Genomic DNA, 25160 nt, shown 5'->3' on the forward strand with positions numbered 1-25160 from the left:
CGTGGGTACGTGGGCGCCAAGAGGGCCGGCTGTGCATCCGGCGTGGGCGGCACAGAACGACCTCGCCCCGCCCGCTGGGTCCCCAAGCCCGCCCTGCACAGCCGGGCCTCGGTCACCTCGGTCCCCAATTCGGCGCCCCGGCTCTGAATCCCCGCCCCCGCCTCCTGCTCCACACCCCCTCCCCCCCCGTCTCCGCCTCTCCCAGTCTCTAAGCCGCGGCGTCTCCGCGGCCGAGAGGCCCCAGCGCCCGCCTCCCCGGCCCCCGCCCCCACCCCCGCCCCCGGCTCTGCCCACGCCCTCCGCCCGCCAGCCCGGCAGCCAGCGCAGCTCCGGGCCTCGCTCCCTGTGCGTCCTGCGGGGGCGGAGGCGCGGAGAGGCGGCAAGCGCAGCCGGGGAGGGTGGGGGGGCAGAGGCACAGACAGAGGCGCGGAGGCTCGGAGAGAGAAGACGTGGAGGGAGGGACAGAGCCTGGACAGCGGTGGACACGGCATCGTGCGCGGGGAAGAGGGCAGCACGCAGCAGGCGCCGAGCGCCGGGCACCGAGAAGGGCAGCCCGGGTGATCTCCGGCCGTCCATGCACAGAGCGCCTTCCCCCACAGCCGAGCAGCCGCCGGGCGGAGGGGACAGCGCCCGCCGGACCCTGCAGCCCAGACTCAAGTTAGTGGGCAAAGGGAGGCAGCGGGGAGTGGAGATGGGTGGAGCTGGACTTGGGAATGGGGTCCAGAGGGCGGAGGTCGAGGGGAGGACGTGGGGAAGCAGGACGGGGGTGGGGGGTGGAGACTGATGGAAAAGGGGGTGCGTCTTCGAATTAGGGGGCCCTGGGAGCAGGCAAGCATCTGATGAAGCTGGATATGAAAGAGTAGTACCCAAATCTCCATTCCTGGTTTACTCTGTGGGCTCCATCTGGCCTAAGAGCCCCCTGCAAAGAATGTGGGAGCCTCCAAGCACCAGGGGATGCCCTGGAGCTCGAGCTGGCATCAGTGCGGAAGGTGGGGGGACGCTCAGTTGCCTCAGTCCCTCGTTGGCACGGAGCGCGCGGGCCCCCGGTGCCTTTGAGTTAAAGGAGCATCAGCGGGGGAAAGGGGGGGTGACGAGGGAGGCAGGGAGGCCTTAGGCGTTCCTTCCCATATCTGTCCCTTTATTCACAGAGCGGGGAGGGGAGTTTCAGTGTGCAGCCCCTTCATCAAGAGGCCTTGAGCCGCTCCCCCACTCCACTTGAAGATGCGGGTGGAAAATATGGGAGAGGAGAGTAGGCGGGAGCCCCTGGGCGGTTTTCGCCTACAGACGCTACCACTGTGGGAGTGTGTGTGGGCGGAACGGCCCCGGAGCAGAACAATTGCGCCCCTCCCCCTGCCACGGCCCCTGAGCTGAAGGAAAAGGCTGACCGAGGAAGTGGGGAGTGTCACTGCTAGGAGAGGGGCCACTGAGGAGCACTGGGCAGCCTGGAAGGGTGGAGAGGTTCTGAGGGGAGAGAGGAAGCGTGCGTTAAGAATGCTTAACCAGGCCGGGCGGGCCCGGTGGCTCAGGCCTGTAATCCCAGCACTTTGGGAGGCTGAGGCGGGTGGATCACGAGGTCAGGAATTCGAGCCCAGCCTGACCAACATGGTGAAACCCCGTTTCTACTAAAAATACAAAAATTAGCCGGGCATGGTGGCGGGCGCCTGTAATCTCAGCTACTCAGGAGGCTGAGGCAGGAGAATCGCTTGAACCCGGGAGGCGGAGGTTGCAGTGACAGCGCCACTGCACTCCAGCCTGGGTGACAGAGCGAGACTCCGTCTCAAATAAATAAATAAATAAATAAATAAATAAATGCTTAACCCCTGGGAAAAGCTGAGCGGAGAAGAGTAAGGCACCACCTGGCTCACTGAGTGGGAAAGCCAGGGAAGGTGCCACACCCTCCCTTTTAGCCACCTGGGGCTGTGGCCCCTTCACAGGGAATGAAGCTGGCCAGCAGCGTCCACTGTGGGGGAGACTGGGCTCCTACATTCACTTTAGTATGGGTGACTTCACTTCAGTGTTGAGACTGCTGAGTGTTTAGAGGGGAAGGTGAGGATTGTGTTTTGGGGGAGAGGGAGGTCCAGCCATCCCAGGTCGGTGCTGGTCAGCCTCAGCGCTCAAGTTCTTCTTGCCCCAGACCAAAAAGATAAAAGCTGAAGATAAGGTTGTAAGACGCTTCGACTCCTACAGACACAGGCCACTGACTTTTGGGGCTTCGGGCCAGTCTAGGACGGCACTGGCTTGTCCATGCCTCTGAGCAGTGCCTGATTCTGAGAGTCTGTACTCAGACCTGGGCACTGGGCAGGATAGCATCCAAATGAGGGAGGGGAAGAAAAGCAGGCAGGAAAGAGGGAACAATTGTTAGTGTGGGTTGGTACCCAGTAGGGGGACTTGCACCGACTGCCTCTCTCTTGTGCCCCTCCTTCTCAGGCCCAGTGCCCGAGCCATGGCACTGCCTCGGACGCTGGGGGAGCTGCAGCTGTACCGGGTCCTGCAGCGCGCCAACCTCCTTTCCTACTATGAGACCTTCATCCAGCAGGGAGGGGACGACGTGCAGCAGCTGTGTGAGGCGGGTGAGGAGGAGTTTCTGGAGATCATGGCACTTGTGGGCATGGCCACCAAGCCCCTCCATGTCCGGCGCCTGCAGAAGGCACTGAGAGAGTGGGCCACCAATCCAGGGCTCTTCAGTCAACCAGTGCCTGCTGTTCCCGTCTCCAGCATCCCGCTCTTCAAGATCTCTGAGACTGCGGGTACCCGGAAAGGGAGCATGAGCAATGGGCATGGCAGCCCAGGGGAAAAGGCAGGCAGTGCCCGCAGTTTTAGCCCCAAGAGCCCCCTTGAACTTGGAGAGAAGCTATCACCACTGCCTGGGGGACCTGGGGCAGGGGACCCCCGGATCTGGCCAGGCCGGAGCACTCCAGAGTCGGACGTTGGGGCAGGAGGAGAAGAGGAGGCTGGCTCGCCCCCCTTCTCCCCCCCTGCAGGGGGAGGAGTCCCTGAGGGGACTGGGGCTGGGGGGCTGGCAGCAGGTGGGACTGGGGGTGGTCCAGACCGACTGGAGCCAGAGATGGTACGCATGGTGGTGGAAAGTGTGGAGAGGATCTTCCGGAGCTTCCCAAGGGGGGATGCTGGGGAGGTCACATCCCTGCTAAAGCTGAATAAGAAGCTGGCACGGAGCGTTGGGCACATCTTTGAGATGGATGATAATGACAGCCAGAAGGAAGAGGAGATCCGCAAATACAGCATCATCTATGGCCGTTTCGACTCTAAGCGGCGGGAGGGCAAGCAGCTCAGCCTGCACGAGGTGAGAACCCCCAGGCCTCCTAGGATTGCCCTTGACTTCCAGGTCTCCAGCCGCTTACCTCTGCGAGTTTCTACAGTCTCCGACTATCTTTCATTATCTCTTGACCAGGACCCCAGGCCCTGATCCCCTCCCCAACAGGCCCCTACCCCAGCGGCCGCAGTGCTTCCATCCTCAGCTGAGGGGGAAGCAGAGATACAGGCAGCACCGAGCTGTTCAGCTCCTTGTCACTCAGGACCCCACAGGAGAGGAGGAGGCCCCGGGCATTCCTAGGAAGCTGTGGGTGCTGACCTCTGTCTTCCCACCTCAGAAAGCTCCCATGTAGTGTCAAAACCAAAGCAAGCGTCTGATGGATGGGCCTCATTTGTCCAATGGTGAAGGGGTGTGAGGAGGTCTGGTGAGGCAGCGGGGAAGTTCGAATTCTGACTCTCCTGGCTGCCCTCCCTCCACAGCTCACCATCAACGAGGCTGCTGCCCAGTTCTGCATGAGGGACAACACGCTCTTATTACGGAGAGTGGAGCTCTTCTCTTTGTCCCGCCAAGTAGCCCGAGAGAGCACCTACTTGTCCTCCTTGAAGGGCTCCAGGTGAGACCCCTTCCCCAGGTCCTTCCTGGACTGGAATCCTGCTATGGAGTTAGATCATGTCCTAACCTTCAGCTCAGGCAGCTCTAGGCCTGCTTCCCGCCCACCTGGATGTCCTGCTTTTGGCCAAGTCAGCTTGTCTCAGGTCTGGTCTCTCCTCCCATCCATGTCGGGTCCCCCCAACCCCCTACAACAATAGTGCTTGAACTAGAGACTCTTTCTCGGCCAGCTTCTTGGCAAAGGTTTTAAATAACACATGCCTCTGGCTGGGTTCTGTGCTCTGCCAGTCGAGTGGCCCTCGTCAGCCTCATCCACTTTATTCTTACCCATCTTTTCAGGCTTCACCCTGAAGAACTGGGAGGCCCTCCACTGAAGAAGCTGAAACAAGAGGTATGTTTTCCGGGGTGCATATAGGGGCACTGGGCAGCCTTCCCCAATCCCCTCCCTTGGCAGGTCTTCATTTCCCCATGTTGGGCATCCACAGGTTGGAGAACAGAGTCACCCTGAAATCCAGCAGCCTCCCCCAGGCCCTGAGTCCTATGTACCCCCATACCGCCCCAGCCTGGAGGAGGACAGCGCCAGCCTGTCTGGGGAGAGTCTGGATGGACATTTGCAGGGTGAGTGTGCCTCAGAACACTTTTCTCTTCATTGAGGGTGGGGGAGTAGGGGAGGGGGTTGGGGGAGGAGTGAGCCAGGAGGCAGTGCCTGAAACAGGGTTGGGAGACCTGGCTGGAGGGGGGGCAGAAGGGCCTGTGGGCTGGCTATGTGGTTGAGGGTGGGGGTTCCATTGGCTGCAGCCCCTTACCTGACCAGTGCCCATGCCCACAGCTGTGGGGTCATGTCCAAGGCTGACGCCGCCCCCTGCTGACCTGCCTCTGGCATTGCCAGCCCATGGGCTATGGAGCCGACACATCCTGCAGCAGACACTGATGGACGAGGGGCTGCGGCTCGCCCGCCTCGTCTCCCACGACCGCGTGGGCCGCCTCAGCCCCTGTGTGCCTGCGAAGCCACCTCTCGCAGGTGAGGCAGCCAGCAGTGCTGTCCCCAAGCACCCCGGCCACTCAGGCCCCACACAGCAATTCTGGTGTCCTGGGGCCAGGTGGGAGGAAGAGGGATATAGTCGTCAGAGAGGGCAGTAGGATGGCTGGGCTCCAGCCAGCCAGGCCTTGGGGTGCAGAGAGGCAGACCCTGCCGAGCTGCTCCCACCATGGAAAGTCTGGTCCTAGTGTAGATCTGTGAAAGGGGAACTGGGGAATGGGGGGACAGAGAAAAGAGGATGAAGGAGCAGGAAGGAGGAGCATCAATAAGGGAAGCTCAGATGGCACTTCCACCAACCCAGGAGTGGGGAGCAGGCTAGGAGTTGTGGGTATGGGGATGGGGATGCCCAGCTTGGAAGCAGAGGAGCCCAAAGCAGTGATGCTTTGTGTGTGGAAGGGGGAAGAGGGAGTGGGCAGGCGGAGGGCCGGGCAGCCGCTGGGCTGAGAGTGACGCAGCAGACAAAGCCACCAACCCTGGCTTGGTATTTTTAAACTGTGCGTGGGTGGGAAGTGGGGGCGGGGACTGGAAGGGGGGCTCTTCTTGAGGGAGGAGCTCGGAGGCTGGCTTCCTGTTCTCCCTCTGATTTGGCTACCAAAAAACTTGGGGGGCCATGGTAGAGTGGCCTGGGAGGGGCCTGGGAGGGGGCCAGGGATGAGTGGGGGTGGCAGAGCTTGGGAAGGGGGGAGGGGAGAGGTCAGAGCCAAACCACCCCCGCAGCTCCTGACAGAACCAGAAATTCCAGCGCAACCGAGGAGGCGGGAGAGAAAGAGAGAGAGACAGACAGAGACAGAGCTACGCACAGCCAGGGAGGGGAGGGGGCTCACACACATGGGAATGGAACCCCCCATACACATGCAGTGGGCAGGAGGCAGTAATTCAATAAACCTAAACTGAGCCCATCTTCACAGCTTTCTTTGCCCCTGCTTCTGTTCCCAACCACCTCTGTCTGCAGCCAGTCACCCTGCAGTCTCCTAACTGCCCCCTTTTCCCTGCAGAGTTCGAGGAAGGGCTGCTGGACAGATGTCCTGCCCCAGGACCCCATCCCGCGCTGGTGGAGGGTCGCAGGAGCAGCGTGAAAGTGGAGGCTGAGGCCAGCCGGCAGTGAGGGTTGGACTGGTGTCTTCAGACCCAGGACCTCAGACTTCTGGCTCACACAGACCCCCACGCTCTCCATCCCCGGAATCTAGTCACAACCCTGGATCCTTCCTCTGCCCTTCTCCTGCCTCCCCACCTGCTCCATGGGCATAAGACTGTGGGGCTTCAAGCAATAACAAGCAGAGGCCTGGAGAGAGGACACAAGGAGGGTGCGTGGTGCCCTCACCCCTGCCCAGAGCGAGGGGGCAAGGACTCTGCCTCCAGGGCATCTGGGGTTTTCCCCTCCCTCACACAACACACTCCCATTCTCTTTAGGTTTGCACCAGTGGTGTGAGCAGTTGGACTCAGTTTGGACAAGGGGGAAAGGGGGACTTCCCTGGGAAGGTCCAGCTAAAAGTGGCAACATTTGCCCCCAGAATTGGGGGCCTGGGAACACTGGACCTGCTCCTTCTCCCCTCTCCTTCCCCGTTTTTGTGCTTCTGGTTTGTTTCTTTAATTAATTTAACAAGTGCTGCAGTTTGCCCTCCCATTCCCATCTATCCCCCAAGTCCTTTGCAATTTCTTCCCTGCCCTACATAGGGGCGGTGGGTGTGGGATCCCTTCACTGGCCCCCTCGGGAGGCCTGGGTTGGACTCAGGGTCTCCTCCAGCTGGGGGCTGGACCGCAGCACCTATCTGAGCAGTTAGAGCGTCTTTCTTTTCAGATTGTGTACAGTAGATTATTTATTTTGTTATTTTGGAATAAAATTTATTTTATGGCTTAGGATCTATGACCCCTGCCTTGAGAGGGAGAATGGGATAGGGGAGTGAAGGGAAGCTGGCGGTGGATGGGGCAACAGAAAAGATGCAGCAGGCAGGGCCCTCTCATACACTGGAGGGCCACATGGCCAGGCCTGGACCCAGACTCTCACCCTGGCTCCCAGGCAGCATTGGAGGTGTGGAGCCATACGTAGATGTCACAGCCACTTGGACCCACTTGGGCACAGTCAGACTCCAAATTCAGAGTATTTGGGGGTTAGCATATGTCAGAGAGGCCAGCACACTTGCTGCTGTCTTCTGTGCAGTGTCTCACCCTCCCAAATTTGTGTTGTCACGTAGGCAAAAGCAGATAGACACATGTTCTATGTGGTCATGCAACTAAGGTGCCAGCTATACATTTAACATATCCTAGGTACATACACGTTCACACAGCTATACACGAAGAATCTCAGCCCTTGTACTTTTGCATAGTCTCATACACGTATCAGAAGCCTCCACCTGGCTAACAGGAATTTGGGGCTTTGGGAGATTTTTTAATCAGGGCAAAACCTGTACTAGTAACCACATGTCCAGACCCCTCCTATGCTCCCACCCAGGGTCCCTTGAGCTGCTTCCCATTCCCCTAGGGCTGAGACCCAATATCCTCTATCCCTGGCCTCTAGTGTAAATGTGTCTGTATGTTCCTGCCTATCCGTCCTAGGCCCTGGGTCAGAATGGGCGGAGAAGCCTTCCATGCCCTAACCTGTGCTCTTACCCAGCCCCCCTCCTGCTCAGCCCCATCACCCTCAGAGAGCTCTGTATGTGTGTGTGCGTGCGTGTGCGCGCTGCAGGTGCAGGCATGTTGGGGTGTGTCTCAGAGCCTGAACTTCCCTTCCAGTCAGTGCTGGAAGGAGGTGGGCAGGGGAATGATAGAAAGGAAGGAGTGGATTGGCTCCACCCACTGTGCATTCTCCTGTTAGTCTTTTCCTCCTGACCCAGGAGTAGGTGGGGATAGGAGGGCACCCTCCCCATCTGCTGCTTGGCAGGGCATGAGCAAGTGTCCAGAGCAGGTCTGTGGGGGTAGTAGAAGAGCTGTCTCTTTGGGTTCTCCCTCCAGCTGGGATCACCAACTGGGGTTGGCCCTTAGGTCCATGTGGGACATTGAGATCCCAGATTGCCCATAGTGGGAGGGCTGCAGGAGGGGCTGTGCCCCCAAGGACCCTCCCCCCGACTCCCCTTGCCCCTCCAGGAGAAGCTTAGTGAGGTCCTGTTCAGTGGGAGGCAGCAGAGGAGGGAATATGTCTTCACCAATCCTGCAAGGAGATGGGAGAAGCAGTGGAGTAGGCATGGCGCCCACTCCCCTAGATGCCACCCAGCCTCCACTCCCAAGCTGCCACTCACCAAGTGCCCTGAGGAAACGCTGTCACTGGCTGGCTCAGGCAGCTGTCTTCCACCATGGTCACATCTGAGCAGAGCAGGGGGTCAGGGCTGGACACAGCATGCTCCTGAGGCTGGCACGGCAGCAGGCCCCTGCCAGGAACCAGCAATGGAAATAAGGAGAGCGGGGCAAGGCCAGGAAAGAAGAGGCACATGGGGTCAGGAGGGGCTTTGTCACTCACTGGGGGTGAGGCTGGTCAAAGGGCAGGCTCATCTGGCCCAGGCTGGGGGGCATCTGCAGGTGAGGCCTGGAAGTAGGGAGAGCACAGTTAGAGGAAGGCAGGCTAGGCAAATGCAGAGTGGTGCAAAGTCAGGACCACTGAGTGAGGAAACAAGCTCCAGCTCCTTATCCTGACTTAGTCATGGCCTGGGCAAGCTATTTCTATGCTCTGAGCTCAGTCTTCTCATCTGTAAAATGTGCGTGTTATGGGGGTGGATTAGCCAATTTCTAATGTTTCTTTGGACTCTGAACTTTGGTAGTTCTTAAGTCCCCAAGTCCTCACTCCCGCCTCACCTTCTGGGAAGGGAGATGTTGTGTCTTGACTAAGTTAATAAGCACCCGAGTGTCATACTTCGGGAAGAAAAATGTCTAGGCCATTTCAAGGCCAAAACAGATGAGTAAACAAAAACCAATACAGCAGAGAAGTGACAGTGGCTCTCAGGGGCAGGACAGAAAATAATAATAACAGTCATGCACCACATTAACGACATTTCTGTCAACTACAGACCACAGTGGTCCCATAAGATTATAATCAAGGCCAGGCAGAGTGACTCACGCCTGTAATCCTAACGCTTTGGGAGGCCGAGGTGGGAGGATCACTTAAGCCCAGGAGTTTGAGACCAGCTTGGGCAGTAAGTGAGACCTTGTCTGCAGAAAAATCTTAAAAAAGAATTAGCCGAGTGTCGTGGTGCACTACAGCAGGAGGATTGCTCGAGCCCAAGAGGCGGAGGTTGCAGGGAGCTAAGATCGCACCACTGCACTCCAGTGAGTGAGACCCTGTCTCAAAAAAAAAAAATTATAATCAAGCTGAAAATTCCTATCACACAAATATTTACCATTATGTTACTATTTCCTTATACTATTCAGAACAGTATCATGCTGCTCGGGTTTAAAGCTAGGATCAATAGGCTACACAATATAGCCTCAGTGTATAGTAGTCTATACCATCTAGGTTTGTGTAATTATACTCAATGGTATTCGCATAATTATGAAACTGCCAAAGACAGAAAATGCTCCTTCATTAAGTGATCCACGACTGGACTTACACAGCTTTTGCTATGAGCCATGCACTATGCTCAGCTTTTTAAGTGTTATGAACTCATTTAATCTCCACAATAATGCAGTGAGGTAGGTTATTATTATTAGCATTATTATCCCCCATTGTGCAGATAAGGCACCAAAGGCTAAGTAATTTGCCCCAAACCAGTAAGTGGTGGAGCTAGAATTCAAACCTAGGCAGTCCAGATCTTAACTACTACCCCCTCATTAGAGTGGACAGAAGAGAAGAAGACAGGCTGTTAGCATTTGCTGCTCCTTTCTCACAGAAGAGCCTCTTCTAACAATTCAAATGCCCACCCCCTTAGAGTGGGATGGTATCCCCATGAGGTTTTTCACTTACTCCTGGAAGGCTGACAACACGTTGACTGATTCTTCTGGGGAGAGGCCTTGATACGGGGGGATGGAGTGAGAGTGTGGTGGGTACACCTGGGGCCTGGGGAAAGAAAACAGACCCCCTGATGCCAGCCCTTCTCCTGGACACCACCACACCCTGCTTTTGAACAGGTGTCCCTCTCATGGAAAGGAAGATTCCCTGTTCAGCCCCCAGTGCCAGCTCTCCCAGCTGCCCATGCTAAGATTAGCCCATCTGCACAGACCACTCCCATTCCTGTCTTTCCAGCTCCTTACACCATATCTGGGCCAAGCTGCATGCTCATGGAGGAATCAGGGGCCATTCCAAGGTCATAAGAAGGCACCATGGTAGGCATCTGGAGCTCTGGGGTAGGAAGTGGTTGGTCCCTGGAGGAGGGAAGGAGGTACATGTGACTGACCAAGGGTTGATGCCACCCCTCCTTCCTGCAGATAAGCACTAAGCCCCTGACCTACCCACTGTCCATACCACCACACTCACCTTTCCACGGTCATCTTGATGGTAGCTGGGACATAACCCCTGCCATCCTTACCCATCTGTTCAGCTGTTGTGAGAAGGAAAAGACAGCCATGGAGTGCTCTGGGGTTAGGGAGGAAGGGAGGTGGAAAAGGTGGGCATGGATCATGGGGAAGTAAGAGAAGCACAGCTATGAAATAGGGAGTGACATCAGGATGACACGCGGGCAGGGAGAGGAGGGCAGCGGGGAGCAGGGAGGAAGTGGGTGACAGGAAGGAATCAGAGCTGCCAGTTCCAGCTCACGCTTGTAGTGGCTCCGGAAAGCCTCATCCTTGGGCTTCTTGGGATAGAGATTTTTGAGCTGAGCAAGATCCCGGATTCGGTCCCCCAGTGAGCGAATGGACAGGTCTTTGGCAGAGAATGGCTGGATGTTCTCTATCTGTGGAGAGCCTATGGTAGGAAGGAGACCCTGAGATCCCTCTGTCCGGACTTTCTTCCCCTTCCCCAACCCCTACCATAAGACCTGTTCTCACTCCACCAAGGCAAGGGAGAGAGGACCTAGGGTGGGGCTCCTGAGGGAGAGAGACCCACTAGTCTCCGTTCCCACAGAGCTCACAGTGAGAAGGTGAACATTTAGACCACAGAAGGAAGAAGAGAAGCTGGAAGAACTTCCTGAAGATCAGGATCGGCATCAGGAAGGTCAGGACATTTCATTCCCAGAAGAAACCCCAGAGGGCACAGGCACAGAGACAGAGGACTGGCTGGGGTGGCCTCACCATCCTGGCCCCGGATGACATGGGCAATGGTGATGCCCCCAATCTCTGAGTCGCTGAAGCGGAGGAGAAAGGTTCCGTCGGGCTCATTGAGAAGAAGGCTAGTAACGTACTGTTTGCTGATGAAGCCAATGATCAGCCTGGCCGGGATGAAGGAGAGGATGGGGCATGGGCAGTGAGTATGGAGGTGACTGGTGTATGGCTGCTCAGACTACCCAGGGTGGGGACTCACCGGTCAGACCAGTAGCTCCGGAGACAGCGTTTGGTGAGGTCCAGGACACCATCAAACCACTGCCAAAAGGTGAAGCCACGGCCCAGCAGGATCTCCTAGGGGGAGAGGGGGAAAGGTGTGAGCCGAGGGAGGGCCAGAGCTGGAGCCTGTTTAGGGCAGGCAGTGAGCTGTGAGTGCCCTCACGACAGAATCACAGGGCTGAGGATCAGACCGAACCTGAGACTCCATCAATGACAACGACCAATCCTAATGCTTACACGTGCCAGCCACTATTTCAAGCCTTTCCATATATTTATTTGCTCTTTACCAGGCTATGGAAGTAGGGATTATAATAATTCCATCTTACAGATGAAGAAATGGAAGTCCAAAAACGTCGAATGACTTGCCCAGGTCTACATAGCTGGTAAGAGGCAGAGCTAGGATTTAAACCCAGGCATTCTGGCCCTGGAGCCCCTCTTAACTACTATGCTACACCCTCTCCCTAAGGAGGTGTGGCAGAGGTGACGCCCAAAGGAAGGTAACCTGCTGGGTGTGACTGTCTTGCTCCCTTTAGCTAACACACCCTCTGGTCACATGAGCATTTCTTTCTTCTCTTTAAAGATTCTGTCTCACACAAAAGAAAGAAAAAGAGAGAAAGAGAAAGAGAAAGAAAGAAAGAAAGAAAGAAAGAAAGAAAGAAAGAAAGAAAGAAAGAAAGAAAGAAAGAGAAAGAAAGAAAGAAAGAAAGAAAGAAAGAAAGAAAGAAAGAAAGAAAAGAAAAAAAAACCAAAACATAAAATAACATAATATAACATAAAATAAAAGAGCAAGAGTCAGAAATATGTGGTTCTCTCCTAGCCATGGCACTCACCTGCTTTGGGAACTTGAACAAACTACATAACCCTCTGAGCATCAGATTCCTCATCTGTAAAATGGGGATAATAATAGTATCTACCTCAAAGAGATGTTGGGAGGATTAAGTGAGATAACATACATAAGGTGTTAAGCACAGCGCCTGGCATATAAGCTGTCAACACGTGGTAGCTGGTATTACTGCACATGTCCCTGTGGGATTTTGTTCAGTTTTTGCAACAGGAATTCTTTTTCTTTCTTTCTTTCTTTCTTTTTTTTTTTAGACAGAATCTCATTCTGTTGGCAGGCTGGAGTGCAGTGGCACAATCTTGGCTCGCTGCAACCTCTGCCTCCCAGGTTCAAGTGATTCTCCTGCCTCAGCCTCCCGAGTAGTTGGGACTACAGGCATGCGCCACCATGCCCAGGTAATTTTTGTATTTTTAGTAGAGACGGGGTTTCACCATGTTGGTCAGGATGGTCTCGATCTCTTGACCTTGTGATCCGCCCGCCTCAGCCTCCCAAAGTGCTGGGATTACAGGTGTGAGCCACCACACCTAGCCTTTTTTTTTTTTTTTTTTGATACAGAGTCTTGCCCAGGCTGGAGTGCAATGGTTTCATCTTCCCTGCAGCCTCTACCTCCTGGGTTCACCTCCTGCCTCAGCCGAGTAGCTGGGATTACAGACGCAAACGACCACTCCTGGCTATTTTTTTGTTTTTAGTAGAGACGGGGTTTTGCCATGTTGGCCAGGCTGGTCTCGAACTCCTGACCTCAGGTGATCTATCCGTCTCGGCCTCCCAAAGTGCTGGGATTACAGGCATGAACCACCATGCCTGGCCTTTTTTTTTTTTTTTTTTTGAGACAGAGTCTTGCTCTGTCACCCAGGCTTGAGTGCAGTGGTATGATCTCAGCTCACTGCAACCTCCACCTCCTGGGTTCAAGCAATTCTCCTGCGTCAGCCTCCCATGTAGCTGGGATTACAGGCATGTGCCACCGCAACTGGCTAATTTTTGTATTTTTAGTAGAGATGGAGTTTCACCATGTTGGCCAGGCTGGTCTCAAACTCCTGACCTCAGGTGATCCACCCACCCCGGCATGTCAAAGACTGGGATTACAGGCATGAGCCGCTGTGCCCGGCCAGGAACTATTTTTCCAACAGGTCAAAGTCACTTTGAATCAGAGCTCTGTTTACACACAACCTGGGTGAGTCATGCAAGTCACTGGTAAAGAGGAAGGACAGATGGCCCCCAGACCAAAACCTCAGGGATGTCAGAGAACGCATCTCCAGAGCCAACCCCCAGGCCTGGGGTTTTTCCTCCCTGGTCCATGACAGGCCTTCCTAAAGGACCTGAGGGGGCACTGTGGAGAATCCAGTGGAAGGTCCCTGCATGGAGGCTGAGCAGGCCCTGAGTGCCCCAGGGATGAAGAGCTTGGGGGTGGGAGGTCCAAAGGGCAGGAGAATGACCTTGTTGAACTGCGACCAGGACACAGAACGGTGCTGGAAGGCCTCCATACTGAGGCTGTTGTCATTGAAGATCTTCTGGGCCAGGAAGAGGAAGTGCTCTGGGAGCAGCCCCCGGTTGGTCCCCACCTCAGCCATGAACTTCAGGTTCAGAGTTTCACACATCTTCTCCCAGGGCACCCGCTCAGCCACCACAAAGGGCACGCGGTCCTGGGGAGAAGGGGGAAGAAGAGAGCACTGCAGGCTACCGTCTTGTTATTCCTCGGGCCGGCCTTCATCCCTCCCACCTGCCTGTGGCCTACCCCTCCACAGCCCCTGATATCGCTCACAAACATGCTGTTTTTTCTAGGTTACAGTGCTGTGGCCTGATAGTTGTTAAGACTGGGGTGAAAAGAGGTCAGAAGCACGAAAGCAGGCCCATGAGAAAGTGTTAAGGTCACACCCATTTAAACATGCCCACCACCCCATCAGCAGGCCTGCACCACTGCCCATGTTAGAACCCACCCTGCCCCTGTTCCCTCCAACTCCAGGACTTTCCTCACCATCTCAGAGAAGGCATTGTCCCACAGGATAGTGGCTTTGGCATTGTTGTCTTGGTTGCCATGGACGATGACCACCAGGGGCAGAGACAGGGCCTGAAGAGGGTGAGGACAGGGGTTTCTTTTCTTTCTTTCTTTCCTTTTTTTTTTTTTTTTTTTTTTTTTTTTTTTTTTTTTTTTTTTTTTTTTAGATAGTATCTCACTCTGTTGCCCAGGCTGGAGTGCAGTAGTGCAATCTCAGCTCACTGCAGCCTCAGCCTTCAGGGCTCAAGTGATCCTTCCACCTCAGCCTCCTGAATAGCTGGAACTACAGAAATGTACCACCTAATCCAGCTAATTATTTATTTATTTATTTTTGAGACAGAGTCTCGCTCTGTCACTCAGGCTGGAGTGCAGTGGCGCGATCTTGGCTCACTGCAAGCTCTCCCTCCCAGGTTCACGCCATTCTCCTGCTTCAGCCTCCCGAGTAGCTGGGACTCAGGCGCCCGCCACCATGCCTGGCTAATTTTTTGTATTTTTAGTAGATACGAGGTTTCACCGTGTTAGCCAGGATGGTCTCGATTTCCTGACCTCATGATCCGCCCGCCTTGGCCTCCCAAAGTGCTGGGATTACAGGCGTGAGCCACCATGCCCGGCCAATTTTTTATTTTTTGTAGAGATTGGATCTCCCTATGTAGCCCAGGCTGGTCTTAAACTTGCAGGCTCAAGCGATCCTCCTACCTTGGCCTCCCAAAGTGCTGAGTTGTTTTGTTTTGTTTTTGAGACATAGTCTTGCTCTGTCGCCCAGGCTGAAGGGCAGTGGCGCAATCTTGGCTCACTGCAACCTCCGCCTCCTGGGTTCAAGCGATTCTCCTGCTTAGCCTCCCGAGCAGCTGGGACTACAGGCCTGCACCACCACGCCCAGCTAATTTTTGTATTTTTAGTGGAGACGGGGTTTCACCATATTGGCCAGGCTGGTCTTGAACTCCTGACCTTGTGATCTACCCACCTCGGCCTCCCAAAGTGCTGGGATTACAGGCTTGAGCCACCATGCCCAGCCGGACAGGGGTTTCTTAGTGAAGCAAGAAGTTTCCTCAGGGGACTGGCTCTGAGCACTCAGAGAAGTTATTGGACTCACACATCATAATCAAAAAGCTCATGCCATGTTATTAAATGCGTTCTGAAGCTCAATCAGGGCCTCACCGTAGAGAAGTGGTTATTAGTCATCGCTATGGAACCAGACCTCCAGGTTTCAAATACCAGCTCCAACACTTAGCTGTGTGACTGGGACAAACTACTTAAACTCTCTGTCTCAATGTCCTTATCTATAAAATGAGGCTGATAATACTGCCTACCTCATAATGTTATTGTGAAAACCAGACGTGTGTGTGCTGGCACGCATGTGCGTATGTATCATTTAATAGAGTGCCCTGGTCTATAGGAAGTGCTTCCGAAGTGTTTGCTGCTATCCACTACCATTCCCTGCCCTGTGCACTCCATGCTCTTGCTCACCCCCACTCACCCGGGCCCCAGTGTGCATGAATCCCAGACACATGGGGTATGGGGCAGTCACAAGAGGTGAGGGTCCAGGGCCCTTGTGTGTGGCATTGGAGGAGGACTCGGGGTCCCAGATTGGGGCAGGGCTGGGCCACGGTTCACCTGGAGCTGGATGGGGAGTTTGCCGGGGCCAAGTGTGAAGCTGGCAGAGAAGAGCACAGCGCACTTCTCCTCTGTGACAGACTCAGTGCCCTTCCGCTCACACCGCTTGATCTTCTTGAGAAGCTGTGGGTGGGGTGAGGGAGAGCAAGGGCGAGGTCATGAGGACAGAGACCGCTCCTCCTGGGCTTCCTGACATCCTCTCCAAGGAGAGTCCCACAGTCTCCTAGTGGTGCCCCCCTCACTGCACCCCAAAGCCCCTCACCAGGTTCTTGAACAGGGCAGAGCAGCAGTTCCCAGGAATGCTGTTCTCCAAGGGCACAGTGTTGTTGATGATTTCTCCAGTGCTTTCTCTGCCAGGGGAGGTCAGAGTGTGAACGAGCTCATCTCACTGTCGTCAGGTGTGGCGAGTGCATGGGTGAGTGTAGACTACCCACTGTCACCAGCCCTAAATCTCCATGTCTCTGTTTGGGTTCTTAAGGGAGGAGTCCCCATCTTGGCCAAATCATGATGCCCCCACCCCATTCCAGCCCTAAATGGGTCCCTCCCTTTCCTCTGCCTTGACCATTCAGGGTCTCCACATCCCATGGCCCTCCCTCCCCATCCCTTGCTCTTTTCAGTGCCAGCCCTCCAGGCTGCCTCCATCACCCTAACAGCCCTTCTCCAACCCCAGGTCCAATCCCAGCTTACGCTCCAGCCCCAGGACCCTGAGGCACACTCAGCTCCCGCGCCTGCTTCTCTGTCACCATGTCGGCCCTGACCAGCGGAGGCTTGGCTGGGGCCCCCAGGAACCTCAAGCCCAACAGGAATCGAACTCCAGCCTGGAACTTGGTCTGAGTCTTCAGTACCTGGGGGGGCTGCTTCTCCACCAGGAAGCAACTGGGAGTGAGGAGGACACAAGGGGAGTTGGGGGCTAGGTCCCTGCTGGTGCCCTCCCCACAGCTCTAGCCCCCTTCTTTTCTTCCCGAGGTCTGTTCTAGGCCAGACTGGGAGCTCCCGGGGAATACCTGGTGACGAGGGTTCTCAGGACTTCATCCAGCCGGCCAGTCAGCGATGCCCGGGTCTTGGGCTCAAGCTCCCCACCAGCCGCCCCTACCTCCTGCTGTAGCTGGGAATAAATGTCCACCAGGCTTTCACACCTGGGGCCAGGACAGTGGTCAGGGGGCACAGGATTAAGGCTGCTTGCTCCGGCCCAGACCCCCTTCCCCTATACCCAGGGAGAAAGGCTATCATGTGTGGAGAAGTGGGGTGGGTAGTGGGTGTGGCTGCAAGGCACCTGGGCTGAAGGGGGTTCTGTGATCTGTTGGCCTAGGGTCTGGGTGGGAGGTTCATTCTCAGTGCCTACACCCCCTGTGGAAACCCAGCTGCCTCTCCCCCGACGGCTCTTGCACCCAGGACAACTGCCACCACTTACAGTGCTTTGTGGCAAATTGGAAAGTGTTCCCACCCAATAAACCAAATGGAAAAGCCCTCCTATTCCTCTAGGCATGGGGCTTGAGGAGAGAAGCCTGGGTTGGATGAGTCCCCGCTTGTGCCCCTCCACTAGGCCCACTTGTACAGGATGCGACCTGAACGACAGTGTGCACAGCCCCGCTGGAACTGGCTTTTATGCATCTTGGTCCACTCCAAGGCCCTCCCGCCTGGCTTCTTTCTCTCACCTGTAGGGCCTTCAGCAGGGTCAGCTGCCCACCCCCAGCTTGCCCCCTCTTCCCCATCAGCCCTAGCCCAACCTCTCCTGGAGTGGGGCCAGGCTCTCCTCAAACGGTGCGCCATTCCCTGCCAGCTGCTGCTGCCGTTTCCAAATCTGGATCCTCTTCAGCACTAGGGCTTTGGCTGCCTCTAGCTCTCCAGTGGTCTCCTGCAGTAGCATGGCCAGGGCCTATGGGCAGAGAGGGGCCTGAGCCAGGGCCTCACGCTGCCTCCACACCCAGCTCCTGGGATACGGCTCTTTTTCTCACTCCTCTGGCATTCCCTTGCCCTACTTCAGCCTGTGTCTTTCTGAGGTCTAGCTTCCATCCCTCCAGCTGCACTTTGACCAAGGTCTCCACCTGTCAGCCCATTACTCACCTCACTTGGCCCAGTCCCATTAGCAGGAGTTTCTATCAAGCTGTGCAGAGACACTGAGGGTTGGGGGCAGAAATCAAGGGTGCAGACAGATTAGAGGTTCAGATAAGGTTGAGATCCAAGAGGCAACCACTCCTACACACTCCCCAGAACCACCCTGGCCCCCACCTTGGCCAGCCTCAGCCCCCTTCTGCAGGGCTTCTCGGAGAAGGTGGATCTCCCCTACTCGGTGCTGCAGCCTCCGCAAGCCTGTCTTAAACTTGAGTTCTTCCTGCTTCCAGTGGAAAGGCATTGGCAAGTGGCGGAACTACACAGGAAGGACAGATGCCAAGAAGTGAAACACTCTGCTCATCCCTCTATACCTGGCCTCCACTCTCTGCTCTGCAGATAGCGTTTTCTTGTTCCCCTCTCCCCTTTGGCAGTTCTTCCTGACCTTTTGGAATATCGTGGAGATAAGACCTTGCTCCTAGCAGAATCAGCTCCTTATCCCTTGCTCTGTTCTCCCCGGCCTCTTACCTTCAGTCCCTCATAGAAAGATTCCCTGAGCTTGACTTGGGGTTCACTCTGACCCTAGGAACCTCCTTTGGTCATTCCTGGGCCTAGAACACTGAGCCTTTACTGAGGTTCAAATTCTTTCTAGTTTGTCATGGCTCAGGCCAAAGTCTCAGGGGATTGAGTTGGGGTGGGAGGTGGAATATCACAATACCTGTTCCATAACAGCTTTTTTCTCTCCTTGAAGTATTTGTCTGAAAGTGGCCACCAGCTTCAGGGGGTCCCTCTGATATATGCTCTACAGAAATGAGGGTGGTAAACAGTGAGCTTTGCTCTTACCCATGTCCTTCAATCCCTCCAATCCCCAGGCCTGCATTCACACATATACTATAAGGAAGCACAACTGTAGACTCCAGAAGTTTTTGTGCATTTGCATGCTTTTAAAATCTAATTTGCCTGCTAGCTAGCAGTTAACCACAGGAACACCAATTTGCTTCCAGCATCCAACCAATTTTCTTCCAGGGCCCAATGCTCAACCCAGTTCAACCTCAGCCCCACCCAGCCTTGTCCCCTCCCCTCCTGCCCCACCTCAAGGGTGCTGATGTGTTGCAAGATGGTGCTCCCCTCCCCCTGCTCTCCCACCGAGGCCTGAAGGTGCTGGACAGTGTCTGAAAGTAGGGCACTAGCCAAGTTGCAGCAGAAGGCGTCGGAGCCGACCAGGAACTCCCTGCAGGAAGATCAGGATGAGGCTACCTCAGGCCAGGGCTTCCTCAGCTCTCCTGACCCTTTACCCCACAGCCAAAAGCTCAGCAGTTCCTTTCTCGCTCCTTATTCTCCATCTAGGCCCTCTGTAGCTTTCACCCATGCGCCTTGTTTCCCAGTCTTCTAGCTGTTATGAGAAGTGCCTTTGTCCCAGCCCAAACCCCCCTCCTCTTCGGCTCAGCCTCCTAAGAGATGGGGTCTCCATCTGTCAACATTCATAGCCTGGTCTTGATGGGGCACAGACTCCCTGCTAAATCTAGGTCACTACACATGGAATAACAGGTCTCAAGTTCTGAATCCATGGGTGAGGGGAGAAAAATCTAAGGAGAAGGAAGATGAGTTAGGGAAGACTTGGGGGACCAGCAGGGAGCAGCCAGGACTCACCAGGGCTGGCTCTCCAGCCAGTCACCCAGAAGATGCCGCAGGTGTTGGGGAAAGTCGACATAGAGCCGCTGCACTTTTTCTGGGGGCATCTTGGAGACCAGACCCCACAGAGACATGATCTGGGACTTGGAGGTTGCCTGGAGGAGAAAAATAAGGCCACTCTGAGGGGTGCCCAAGAAACTTGGCCTATCTCCTGGGGCAGCCAGGGACCTCCCATAGATAGCCCTCCTAGGGACCGTCCCCACCACCACTCATGGCCAGACCACCTTAAACCAGGGGCATCCTGAGTCAATGCCTGAGATGGGGGTAACTCCTTCAGTGATAGACACAGGGGTGGGAAGAGCTGAGCTGTAGCCAGAGGGATGGGGAGGCAAAGGGAGACAGGGCAGTAGAGCGAGAGCTCTCTTAGAGTGGCAGAGGATTTAGTTGCAGCTCTAGACCTGGCTCTGGTTCTGTGGGCAAAGAGCCTTCCCTTTGTGGGCTTCGATCTTCTCATCTATAAAATATGAGTGTTAGATGAGTGGAAAACTTTCCAAACTTTTTAAAGCGGTAGGCAATGTCAGCTTTTAATCTGTGGAATCTCAATTACATAAAAGGTACGAAACCGAAGATGCCCTGTTGAAAGCAAGCATGGAAAGCCTGAAACTCGACTGCTTCTACTTCCCTCTCCCCACCTCCTGACGCCAAAGGCATCCCTAGACAAACCTCTCAAAATTCTAGGACTCCATGAGATAATTTGAAAACCACAAGGCTCGGCCAGGCGCAGTGGCTCATGCCTGTAATCCCAGCGCTTTGGGAGGCCGAGGCGGGCAGATCACGAGGTCAGGAGATCAAGACCATCCTGGCTAACACAGTGAAACCCCATCTCTACTAAAAATACAAAAACAAAATTAGCAGGGCGTGGTGGCGAGCGCCTGTAGTCCCAGCTACTGGGGAGGCTGAGGTGACAGAATGGCGTGAACCTGGGGGGCGGAGCTTGCAGTGAGCAGAGATCGAGCCACTGCACTCCAGCCTGGGCGACAGAGAGAGACTCTGCCTCAAAATAAATAAATAAATAAATGAAATAAAATAAAAATGAAAACCACAAGGCTAGATGATGAAGAGGATGGGAGAGTAATAACAGCTACTATTTGTTAAGCACTTACTGTGTATGAGGCATTACACTCAGTGTATTATCTCCTTCAGGCCTCACGACACTTTTTAAAATATATAATATCCCATTTTATAGATGAAGAAACTGAGGCTTAAGGAGTTTCTCTACTCTGCCCAAGGCCACTCAGTAAGTGAGTTTGGAAAGCAGGCTTTGAATCTGAGTGGGGATTAACCATCGCACTGTGTTGTTAGGATCCCTTCCAGGGGCAAATCTGATCATCCTAAGAAGTGGGGGAAGGTGGGAGGAGACTTGAAGGAGGAGAGGTGGAAAAGGAAAGTAGAGAGAACTAAGGAAGAGGATGGAAGAGACTGGAAAAAAGGCGGGTTTAGTAAGCTAGGAGGAAAGAGCCTAGAAGAGAGAGGAAGCTGGAGGGCTAGAAGGCAAAGATGAGAGACGAAAACAGGTAGAAAGGAGAGGAGGGGACAGGGAAGTAGAAGAGGGGGTTGCATCCCCATTTCCAGGTTCAGGGAGGACTGGGTAACCAGTGGTTTCCCAGGGGCCTCTCAGTTCACGTTTCTCATAATATCCCTCTCCCAGAGATGAGGGAGAGGATGGGATGACAACTCCCCAGGTCTCCCCAAACCCAGTAACCCCAAGTCCTCCTGTTGCACGTTCAGCCTCTCACCTCTCCCAGGCCTCTCAGAGGGATGGAAAATGGAGAGGTCCCTTCTCTGGACGTTTCTGCTCCAAGACCTTCATGCCCCTCTTTCCTCCAGTGCCCACTTACCCCAGCTCTTTTCTCCTCAAGGCAGAATCCTTACCCCTCCTGCTCAGGTTCCTCCAATAGGCCTTTCTCTAGCCCAAGAGAGAAAGGTCCTCTGGAGTGAGTGGGCACCGCTTTCCTCTGCATCCCCTTGCAGAGTGACCAGCCTCCTGGCATGGCCCTGGCTAGAAATATCCAACCCCTCTTCTTCCCCAGCCATCAGGAGGACACATTTCTCCCCACCCCAACCCATAACAAGGCTGGGTCGATTGGCTTGACCAGGACAGGGGCACCTTTTGTCTTCAGCCCCTTGAAGGGGAAGGGAGGGAGGAGCCACGGCGTGAGGGGCGGGGCCAGTGTTACCTCCCAAACTCAGAAGGGAAGCGCAAGGTCTGGGATCCTCGTCCGCCCGCTTGGTGGCCTAAACTCGCTTATCTCAACCCCTATCTGCCCGAGTCCTCTGATTGTGGGACCACAGGATCGAAAGTTAAAACAGCTTCTCTGAGTTGCCCAATGCGTGAATGTGGCGGTGGGGGCAGGCGGGGAGGTGGAGCCAGTTCAGCACGAGGAGGGTTAACTCGGCGCCGCCGCTGGGAAATCTCAGCGTCTACAGCAGCCAAGCGTGGAGCAGTTTTGAGGGGGAAATTCCCCCTCGTCTGGGCCACCATGAGGTCTACATCTGGGGCTTGCTCACGCCCCAGCCACACCCTTGAACAGGAACCTTTAGTGGAGGGCAGGATAGGGGTTTAACAAGGATCCACTGCCCTCTGGCATCAACCTTCCAGGGAGGGGCGGCCACTTCCCCCGACTCAGGGCAGAGGGGCACTCCTTCACCTCCTTTCCCTGACTTTCCATGGCCCTGGGGGTGCAGGGGTGAGGCTGTGAAAACGTGACCCATGGGGGAGGGGAGTACTGAGGCCTGGACCCTCCCAGATTCCTCCAGGAGTTCGAAACTGCTAAAACCCAGTGCCACCAGCCACCAACACTAGCTGAAACCATCTCTTGGGGACCATCCACCCAGCCAGGGGAGGATCCCGAGAGCTCCCCCCACGAATCCACCCCCATGCACTCATAGAGGCCCCCGCACCCACCTCGGAGGCAACCCCTCACCTCGGCAACCCCTCTGCTGTCTTCTCCCTTTCTCAGCGGGCACTTCCAGGCCCCATAGGTCTGTAGCTCTGTCCAGCGAGTTCAAGGCTGGCCCTGCTAGCACCTCCCCCCTTCCACCACCACCACCAAAAAGAAAAATAAGATAAAGCACACACATACATACACACACACACACACACACACACACACACTCCTCTCCCGTCCTCCCTCTTCAGTGTAAGCAGTGGCTGCCCCAGCCCGCTGTTTCCGGCTTCTCCTTCTACCCAGGTCCCTCCCTGGAGCTCTGACGACACAGAGAAGAGAAAGTGGGCTGGAGGAGGAAGAGGAAGAAAGTGGGGTGAATATGTGTGCCTCCTGTGCCGAGTGGGGGAACACGTGGGGGATCAGGACTGGGGTCCAGGCCTTGGAGCCAGGCTTGGGGGGAGGCTGACCCCCACTTACTCTGTCCCCCTCAAAAGCATCAGCTTTTCTCCAGAAAGTCACCCAATATCAAACAGAGATTTGCCACCCCTAACTGCCTGGCTCCCAAACTCAAACTCTGCCAAGGGCTGGGGTTTGGACCCACAAGGGACTGGGCTCCCCAGGGCCTCAGGAAAAGTAAATCCCTCTGGACTCTGCGCTCCCTCCAGTGGAGGACCCTAAAAAGCCGCCAGGGAGCTCGATGCCAGCCAACTCCTAGGTCCCCCTCCCTTCCGGCAGGGAACGCCTTAGAGGTCGGTCTCGTGACCACTGACGGGAGGGAGTGGGGGAGGGGAACCCTCAGCTCAGAATTCTGGAAGACTCTAGGAGTCCCTTGGACTGAAGCTGGTCTTTGCTCTCTCCTCACAGGGCACCCCTCCTGAGACTGTGGTGGGAACCAGCACAAGCCGGAGCTGCTGCCTGCAGATTCACAAGGGGCAAGTTTGAATACGAATCTGCTGTGTTCCTATCTGCCAAGTTCCTATATGTTTCTGGGGTAAACACTGAGACACGCCAAGAAACAAACACACACATGCACAACTTCCCTGACCACAAGACTACACACACACACACACACACACACACACACACGTGCAGGCAGGCTCACAAACAGAGCCCATTGCAATCACAACACCACACACACACACACACACACACACACACACACACACACACAGTCTTGCTCAACTTCTGAGTCATCAACATAACTAGTGGAGGGTTCTGCAGTTTTTGCTGGGGGAGGAGCTGGAGGAGACCAAGGGATCCAGAGAGGCCTTTACTCCCGGACACCTGAGAGCCCCGGTGTGTGGAAGAGGTGGTGTCTGAGGGGCGGTGGGAGGAAGTTTCTACTCCCCTCCTCCCTCCCATAGCAGGGGCTGGGCTGAGGGGCCAAAGCTAGGCCTATGCTGCCCCCTGGTGCCTGAATTGATTTCCAGAACCAGCTCCTCCTCCTCCATCCCTTGCTACCCCGCAGGTCTGTACATGAGTGCACGTGTGTGGACCCAGCCAGGCAGCAGAGGGTTTGAACACAGCAAAATATAGCAGTTAAAAGACTGGACTGTGGATACAGGCTGCTTGGGTTCAAATCCTGCTAATGCTGCTAACCACACAACCCTGAGCAATTTACTCTGTGATTCATTCTCGTCATCTGTAAAATGGAGCAAATAAGTCTTAACCCATAATGTGAGAATAAAATGCAGTAAAACATCTGAAGGCTTAGAACAATGCCTGACACACAGTAACTGTCAGGCACTATTTTTATGGTTCATAATAAACCAGGTATGAGGAAAGGAGAAGGGTCTCCATCCTACATAGAAGTCCCCAGATTTGGGGGTCATGTTACTGCCAAAAGGATATTGAGGGTGTATGTGCGTATGTGTTTGCTGTGTCTGCAGGACAGTGAATGGAAGAGAAGGGAGAGCAGGGGTGGAGGTGGCAGGCAGGGACTCTGTCCATTGGCTTGTCCAACAAGCCATGCTAGGATCAAGGTGTGTGCACATACGTGTTCACGGCACACGTGCTTTGTATGTGCTCCCGAGTGCCCACTCTGCCTGCAGACATCCACAGACAGTAGGTGAAGCCAGGTTTCACCATCTAAGGGTGTCAGAGCTACAAGTCCCCAAAGACTTGGAGAGGAGGAGGGAAAAGAGTAAATGTGATCTCTGACTTTGGCTCCTTTTAGGGGGTAGGAAGGCGAGGAGCAAGTACTGGTAGAAAAATAGTATATATTACTCCCTCTGTAACTGACTATACCAATGGGAACACTGTGATGTAAGGGGAAAAAACAGAATTTAGAGGCAAATCTGGCTTGGGTATGACTCCATTTAGGAGGTTCACAATCAGGTGTCAATCCCTCAAATGAGAATAATAGTTATACCTACTTCAACAGAGTCTAGGCTAGGGTAAAGTGCCTAGAGTATGAAATTTAAGGAGATACTCATCTTCAGATTGTACAATTGCAGGGTCTGTCAGACCTTCATTAATGACATCTGCACCTGCATGACTGTGAGGGTGACTGTATCACCCTCCCCTGGACCTTGACATCCCATTGAGTGGTGGTAAAGATTGCACAAGAGAGGCTCACGCCTGTAATCCCAGCACTTTGGGAGGCTGAGGCAGGCAGATCACAAGGTCAGGAGATTGAGACCATCCTGGCCAACATGGTGAAACCCCGTCTCTACTAAAAATACAAAAAATTAGTCGGGCGTGGTGGTGCGCGCCTGTAGTCCCAGCTACTCAGGAGGCTGAGGCAGGGAAATCACTTGAATCTG

General features: G+C 54.8%; 2 protein-coding genes and 1 long non-coding RNA gene across 14 annotated transcripts, besides 16 other annotated features; 2 read left to right on the forward strand and 1 right to left on the reverse strand.

The window, feature by feature from the left end:
• Nucleotides 9–628: a silencer, noted in NCBI's record as "silent region_4571". NCBI's record gives its function as "represses an Ori minimal core promoter by ATAC-STARR-seq in GM12878 lymphoblastoid cells {active_cell/tissue: GM12878}" and the evidence as "EXISTENCE:reporter gene assay evidence [ECO:0000049][PMID:35858748]".
• Nucleotides 417–6779, forward strand: NAB2 (NGFI-A binding protein 2). Of its 2 annotated transcripts, NM_005967.4 has the most exons (7): nt 417–657; nt 2428–3301; nt 3751–3884; nt 4220–4271; nt 4366–4498; nt 4710–4901; nt 5915–6779. In NM_005967.4, the coding sequence occupies exons 1-7, from the start codon at nt 575–577 to the stop codon at nt 6022–6024; spliced, it is 1578 nt and encodes a 525-aa protein (NP_005958.1). In that variant the 5' UTR covers nt 417–574; the 3' UTR covers nt 6025–6779. The 2 variants fall into 2 exon arrangements, with proteins under 2 accessions (NP_005958.1, NP_001317234.1); NM_001330305.2 differs by lacking the exon at nt 4710–4901.
• Nucleotides 3021–3301: a silencer, noted in NCBI's record as "fragment chr12:57485501-57485781 (GRCh37/hg19 assembly coordinates)". NCBI's record gives its function as "represses an EF-1alpha promoter that drives an FKBP-Casp9 reporter gene in an ReSE screen in HepG2 liver carcinoma cells {active_cell/tissue: HepG2}" and the evidence as "EXISTENCE:reporter gene assay evidence [ECO:0000049][PMID:32094911]".
• Nucleotides 4649–4698: a silencer, noted in NCBI's record as "silent region_4572". NCBI's record gives its function as "represses an Ori minimal core promoter by ATAC-STARR-seq in GM12878 lymphoblastoid cells {active_cell/tissue: GM12878}" and the evidence as "EXISTENCE:reporter gene assay evidence [ECO:0000049][PMID:35858748]".
• Nucleotides 4971–5502: an enhancer, noted in NCBI's record as "H3K4me1 hESC enhancer chr12:57487451-57487982 (GRCh37/hg19 assembly coordinates)". NCBI's record gives its function as "activates a minimal SCP1, AML or CMV promoter by ChIP-STARR-seq in naive H9 embryonic stem cells {active_cell/tissue: H9 hESC(naive)}" and the evidence as "EXISTENCE:reporter gene assay evidence [ECO:0000049][PMID:30033119]".
• Nucleotides 4971–5543: a biological region, named in NCBI's record as "Sharpr-MPRA regulatory region 4597".
• Nucleotides 5249–5543: an enhancer, noted in NCBI's record as "tiled region #4597; HepG2 Activating non-DNase unmatched - State 17:Gen3', and K562 Activating DNase matched - State 5:Enh". NCBI's record gives its function as "activates a minimal TATA promoter and a strong SV40 promoter by Sharpr-MPRA in HepG2 and K562 cells {active_cell/tissue: HepG2 | K562}" and the evidence as "EXISTENCE:reporter gene assay evidence [ECO:0000049][PMID:27701403]".
• Nucleotides 5539–5608: a silencer, noted in NCBI's record as "silent region_4573". NCBI's record gives its function as "represses an Ori minimal core promoter by ATAC-STARR-seq in GM12878 lymphoblastoid cells {active_cell/tissue: GM12878}" and the evidence as "EXISTENCE:reporter gene assay evidence [ECO:0000049][PMID:35858748]".
• Nucleotides 6035–6565: an enhancer, noted in NCBI's record as "H3K27ac-H3K4me1 hESC enhancer chr12:57488515-57489045 (GRCh37/hg19 assembly coordinates)". NCBI's record gives its function as "activates a minimal SCP1, AML or CMV promoter by ChIP-STARR-seq in primed H9 embryonic stem cells {active_cell/tissue: H9 hESC(primed)}" and the evidence as "EXISTENCE:reporter gene assay evidence [ECO:0000049][PMID:30033119]".
• On the reverse strand, nt 6711–22665 carry STAT6 (signal transducer and activator of transcription 6). 11 transcript variants are annotated; one of them, XM_047429473.1, is made up of 23 exons: nt 22432–22665; nt 21380–21413; nt 19466–19602; nt 18908–19046; nt 18534–18617; nt 17996–18134; nt 17831–17883; nt 17494–17642; nt 16771–16902; nt 16454–16642; nt 16029–16116; nt 15767–15889; nt 14132–14224; nt 13593–13799; nt 11299–11393; nt 11070–11206; nt 10597–10743; nt 10318–10381; nt 10095–10205; nt 9808–9900; nt 8371–8436; nt 8153–8281; nt 6711–8064 (listed from the first exon to the last, which is right to left on the reverse strand). In XM_047429473.1, the coding sequence occupies exons 3-23, from the start codon at nt 19579–19581 to the stop codon at nt 7875–7877; spliced, it is 2544 nt and encodes an 847-aa protein (XP_047285429.1). In that variant the 5' UTR covers nt 19582–19602; nt 21380–21413; nt 22432–22665; the 3' UTR covers nt 6711–7874. The 11 variants fall into 11 exon arrangements, 10 of the variants coding, with proteins under 10 accessions (XP_047285429.1, XP_047285431.1, XP_047285430.1 ...); XM_047429475.1 differs by having other exon boundaries at nt 21346–21413; XM_047429474.1 differs by having other exon boundaries at nt 21244–21413.
• Nucleotides 7110–7946: an enhancer, noted in NCBI's record as "H3K4me1 hESC enhancer chr12:57489590-57490426 (GRCh37/hg19 assembly coordinates)". NCBI's record gives its function as "activates a minimal SCP1, AML or CMV promoter by ChIP-STARR-seq in naive H9 embryonic stem cells {active_cell/tissue: H9 hESC(naive)}" and the evidence as "EXISTENCE:reporter gene assay evidence [ECO:0000049][PMID:30033119]".
• Nucleotides 7624–7743: an enhancer, noted in NCBI's record as "active region_6526". NCBI's record gives its function as "activates an Ori minimal core promoter by ATAC-STARR-seq in GM12878 lymphoblastoid cells {active_cell/tissue: GM12878}" and the evidence as "EXISTENCE:reporter gene assay evidence [ECO:0000049][PMID:35858748]".
• Nucleotides 11323–11845: an enhancer, noted in NCBI's record as "H3K4me1 hESC enhancer chr12:57493803-57494325 (GRCh37/hg19 assembly coordinates)". NCBI's record gives its function as "activates a minimal SCP1, AML or CMV promoter by ChIP-STARR-seq in naive H9 embryonic stem cells {active_cell/tissue: H9 hESC(naive)}" and the evidence as "EXISTENCE:reporter gene assay evidence [ECO:0000049][PMID:30033119]".
• Nucleotides 13128–13628: an enhancer, noted in NCBI's record as "H3K4me1 hESC enhancer chr12:57495608-57496108 (GRCh37/hg19 assembly coordinates)". NCBI's record gives its function as "activates a minimal SCP1, AML or CMV promoter by ChIP-STARR-seq in naive H9 embryonic stem cells {active_cell/tissue: H9 hESC(naive)}" and the evidence as "EXISTENCE:reporter gene assay evidence [ECO:0000049][PMID:30033119]".
• Nucleotides 13629–14129: an enhancer, noted in NCBI's record as "H3K4me1 hESC enhancer chr12:57496109-57496609 (GRCh37/hg19 assembly coordinates)". NCBI's record gives its function as "activates a minimal SCP1, AML or CMV promoter by ChIP-STARR-seq in primed H9 embryonic stem cells {active_cell/tissue: H9 hESC(primed)}" and the evidence as "EXISTENCE:reporter gene assay evidence [ECO:0000049][PMID:30033119]".
• Nucleotides 21791–22738: an enhancer, noted in NCBI's record as "H3K27ac-H3K4me1 hESC enhancer chr12:57504271-57505218 (GRCh37/hg19 assembly coordinates)". NCBI's record gives its function as "activates a minimal SCP1, AML or CMV promoter by ChIP-STARR-seq in naive H9 embryonic stem cells {active_cell/tissue: H9 hESC(naive)}" and the evidence as "EXISTENCE:reporter gene assay evidence [ECO:0000049][PMID:30033119]".
• Nucleotides 22025–24182, forward strand: LOC124902946 (uncharacterized). Its single transcript, XR_007063334.1, has 2 exons — nt 22025–23144; nt 23260–24182. It is a non-coding gene; the product is annotated as an uncharacterized LOC124902946 (long non-coding RNA).
• Nucleotides 22739–23684: an enhancer, noted in NCBI's record as "H3K27ac-H3K4me1 hESC enhancer chr12:57505219-57506164 (GRCh37/hg19 assembly coordinates)". NCBI's record gives its function as "activates a minimal SCP1, AML or CMV promoter by ChIP-STARR-seq in naive H9 embryonic stem cells {active_cell/tissue: H9 hESC(naive)}" and the evidence as "EXISTENCE:reporter gene assay evidence [ECO:0000049][PMID:30033119]".
• Nucleotides 23724–23883: a silencer, noted in NCBI's record as "silent region_4574". NCBI's record gives its function as "represses an Ori minimal core promoter by ATAC-STARR-seq in GM12878 lymphoblastoid cells {active_cell/tissue: GM12878}" and the evidence as "EXISTENCE:reporter gene assay evidence [ECO:0000049][PMID:35858748]".

The sequence above is a fragment of the Homo sapiens genome, chromosome 12 (assembly GCF_000001405.40).
Source record: "Homo sapiens chromosome 12, GRCh38.p14 Primary Assembly".
Lineage (NCBI taxonomy): Eukaryota > Metazoa > Chordata > Mammalia > Primates > Hominidae > Homo > Homo sapiens.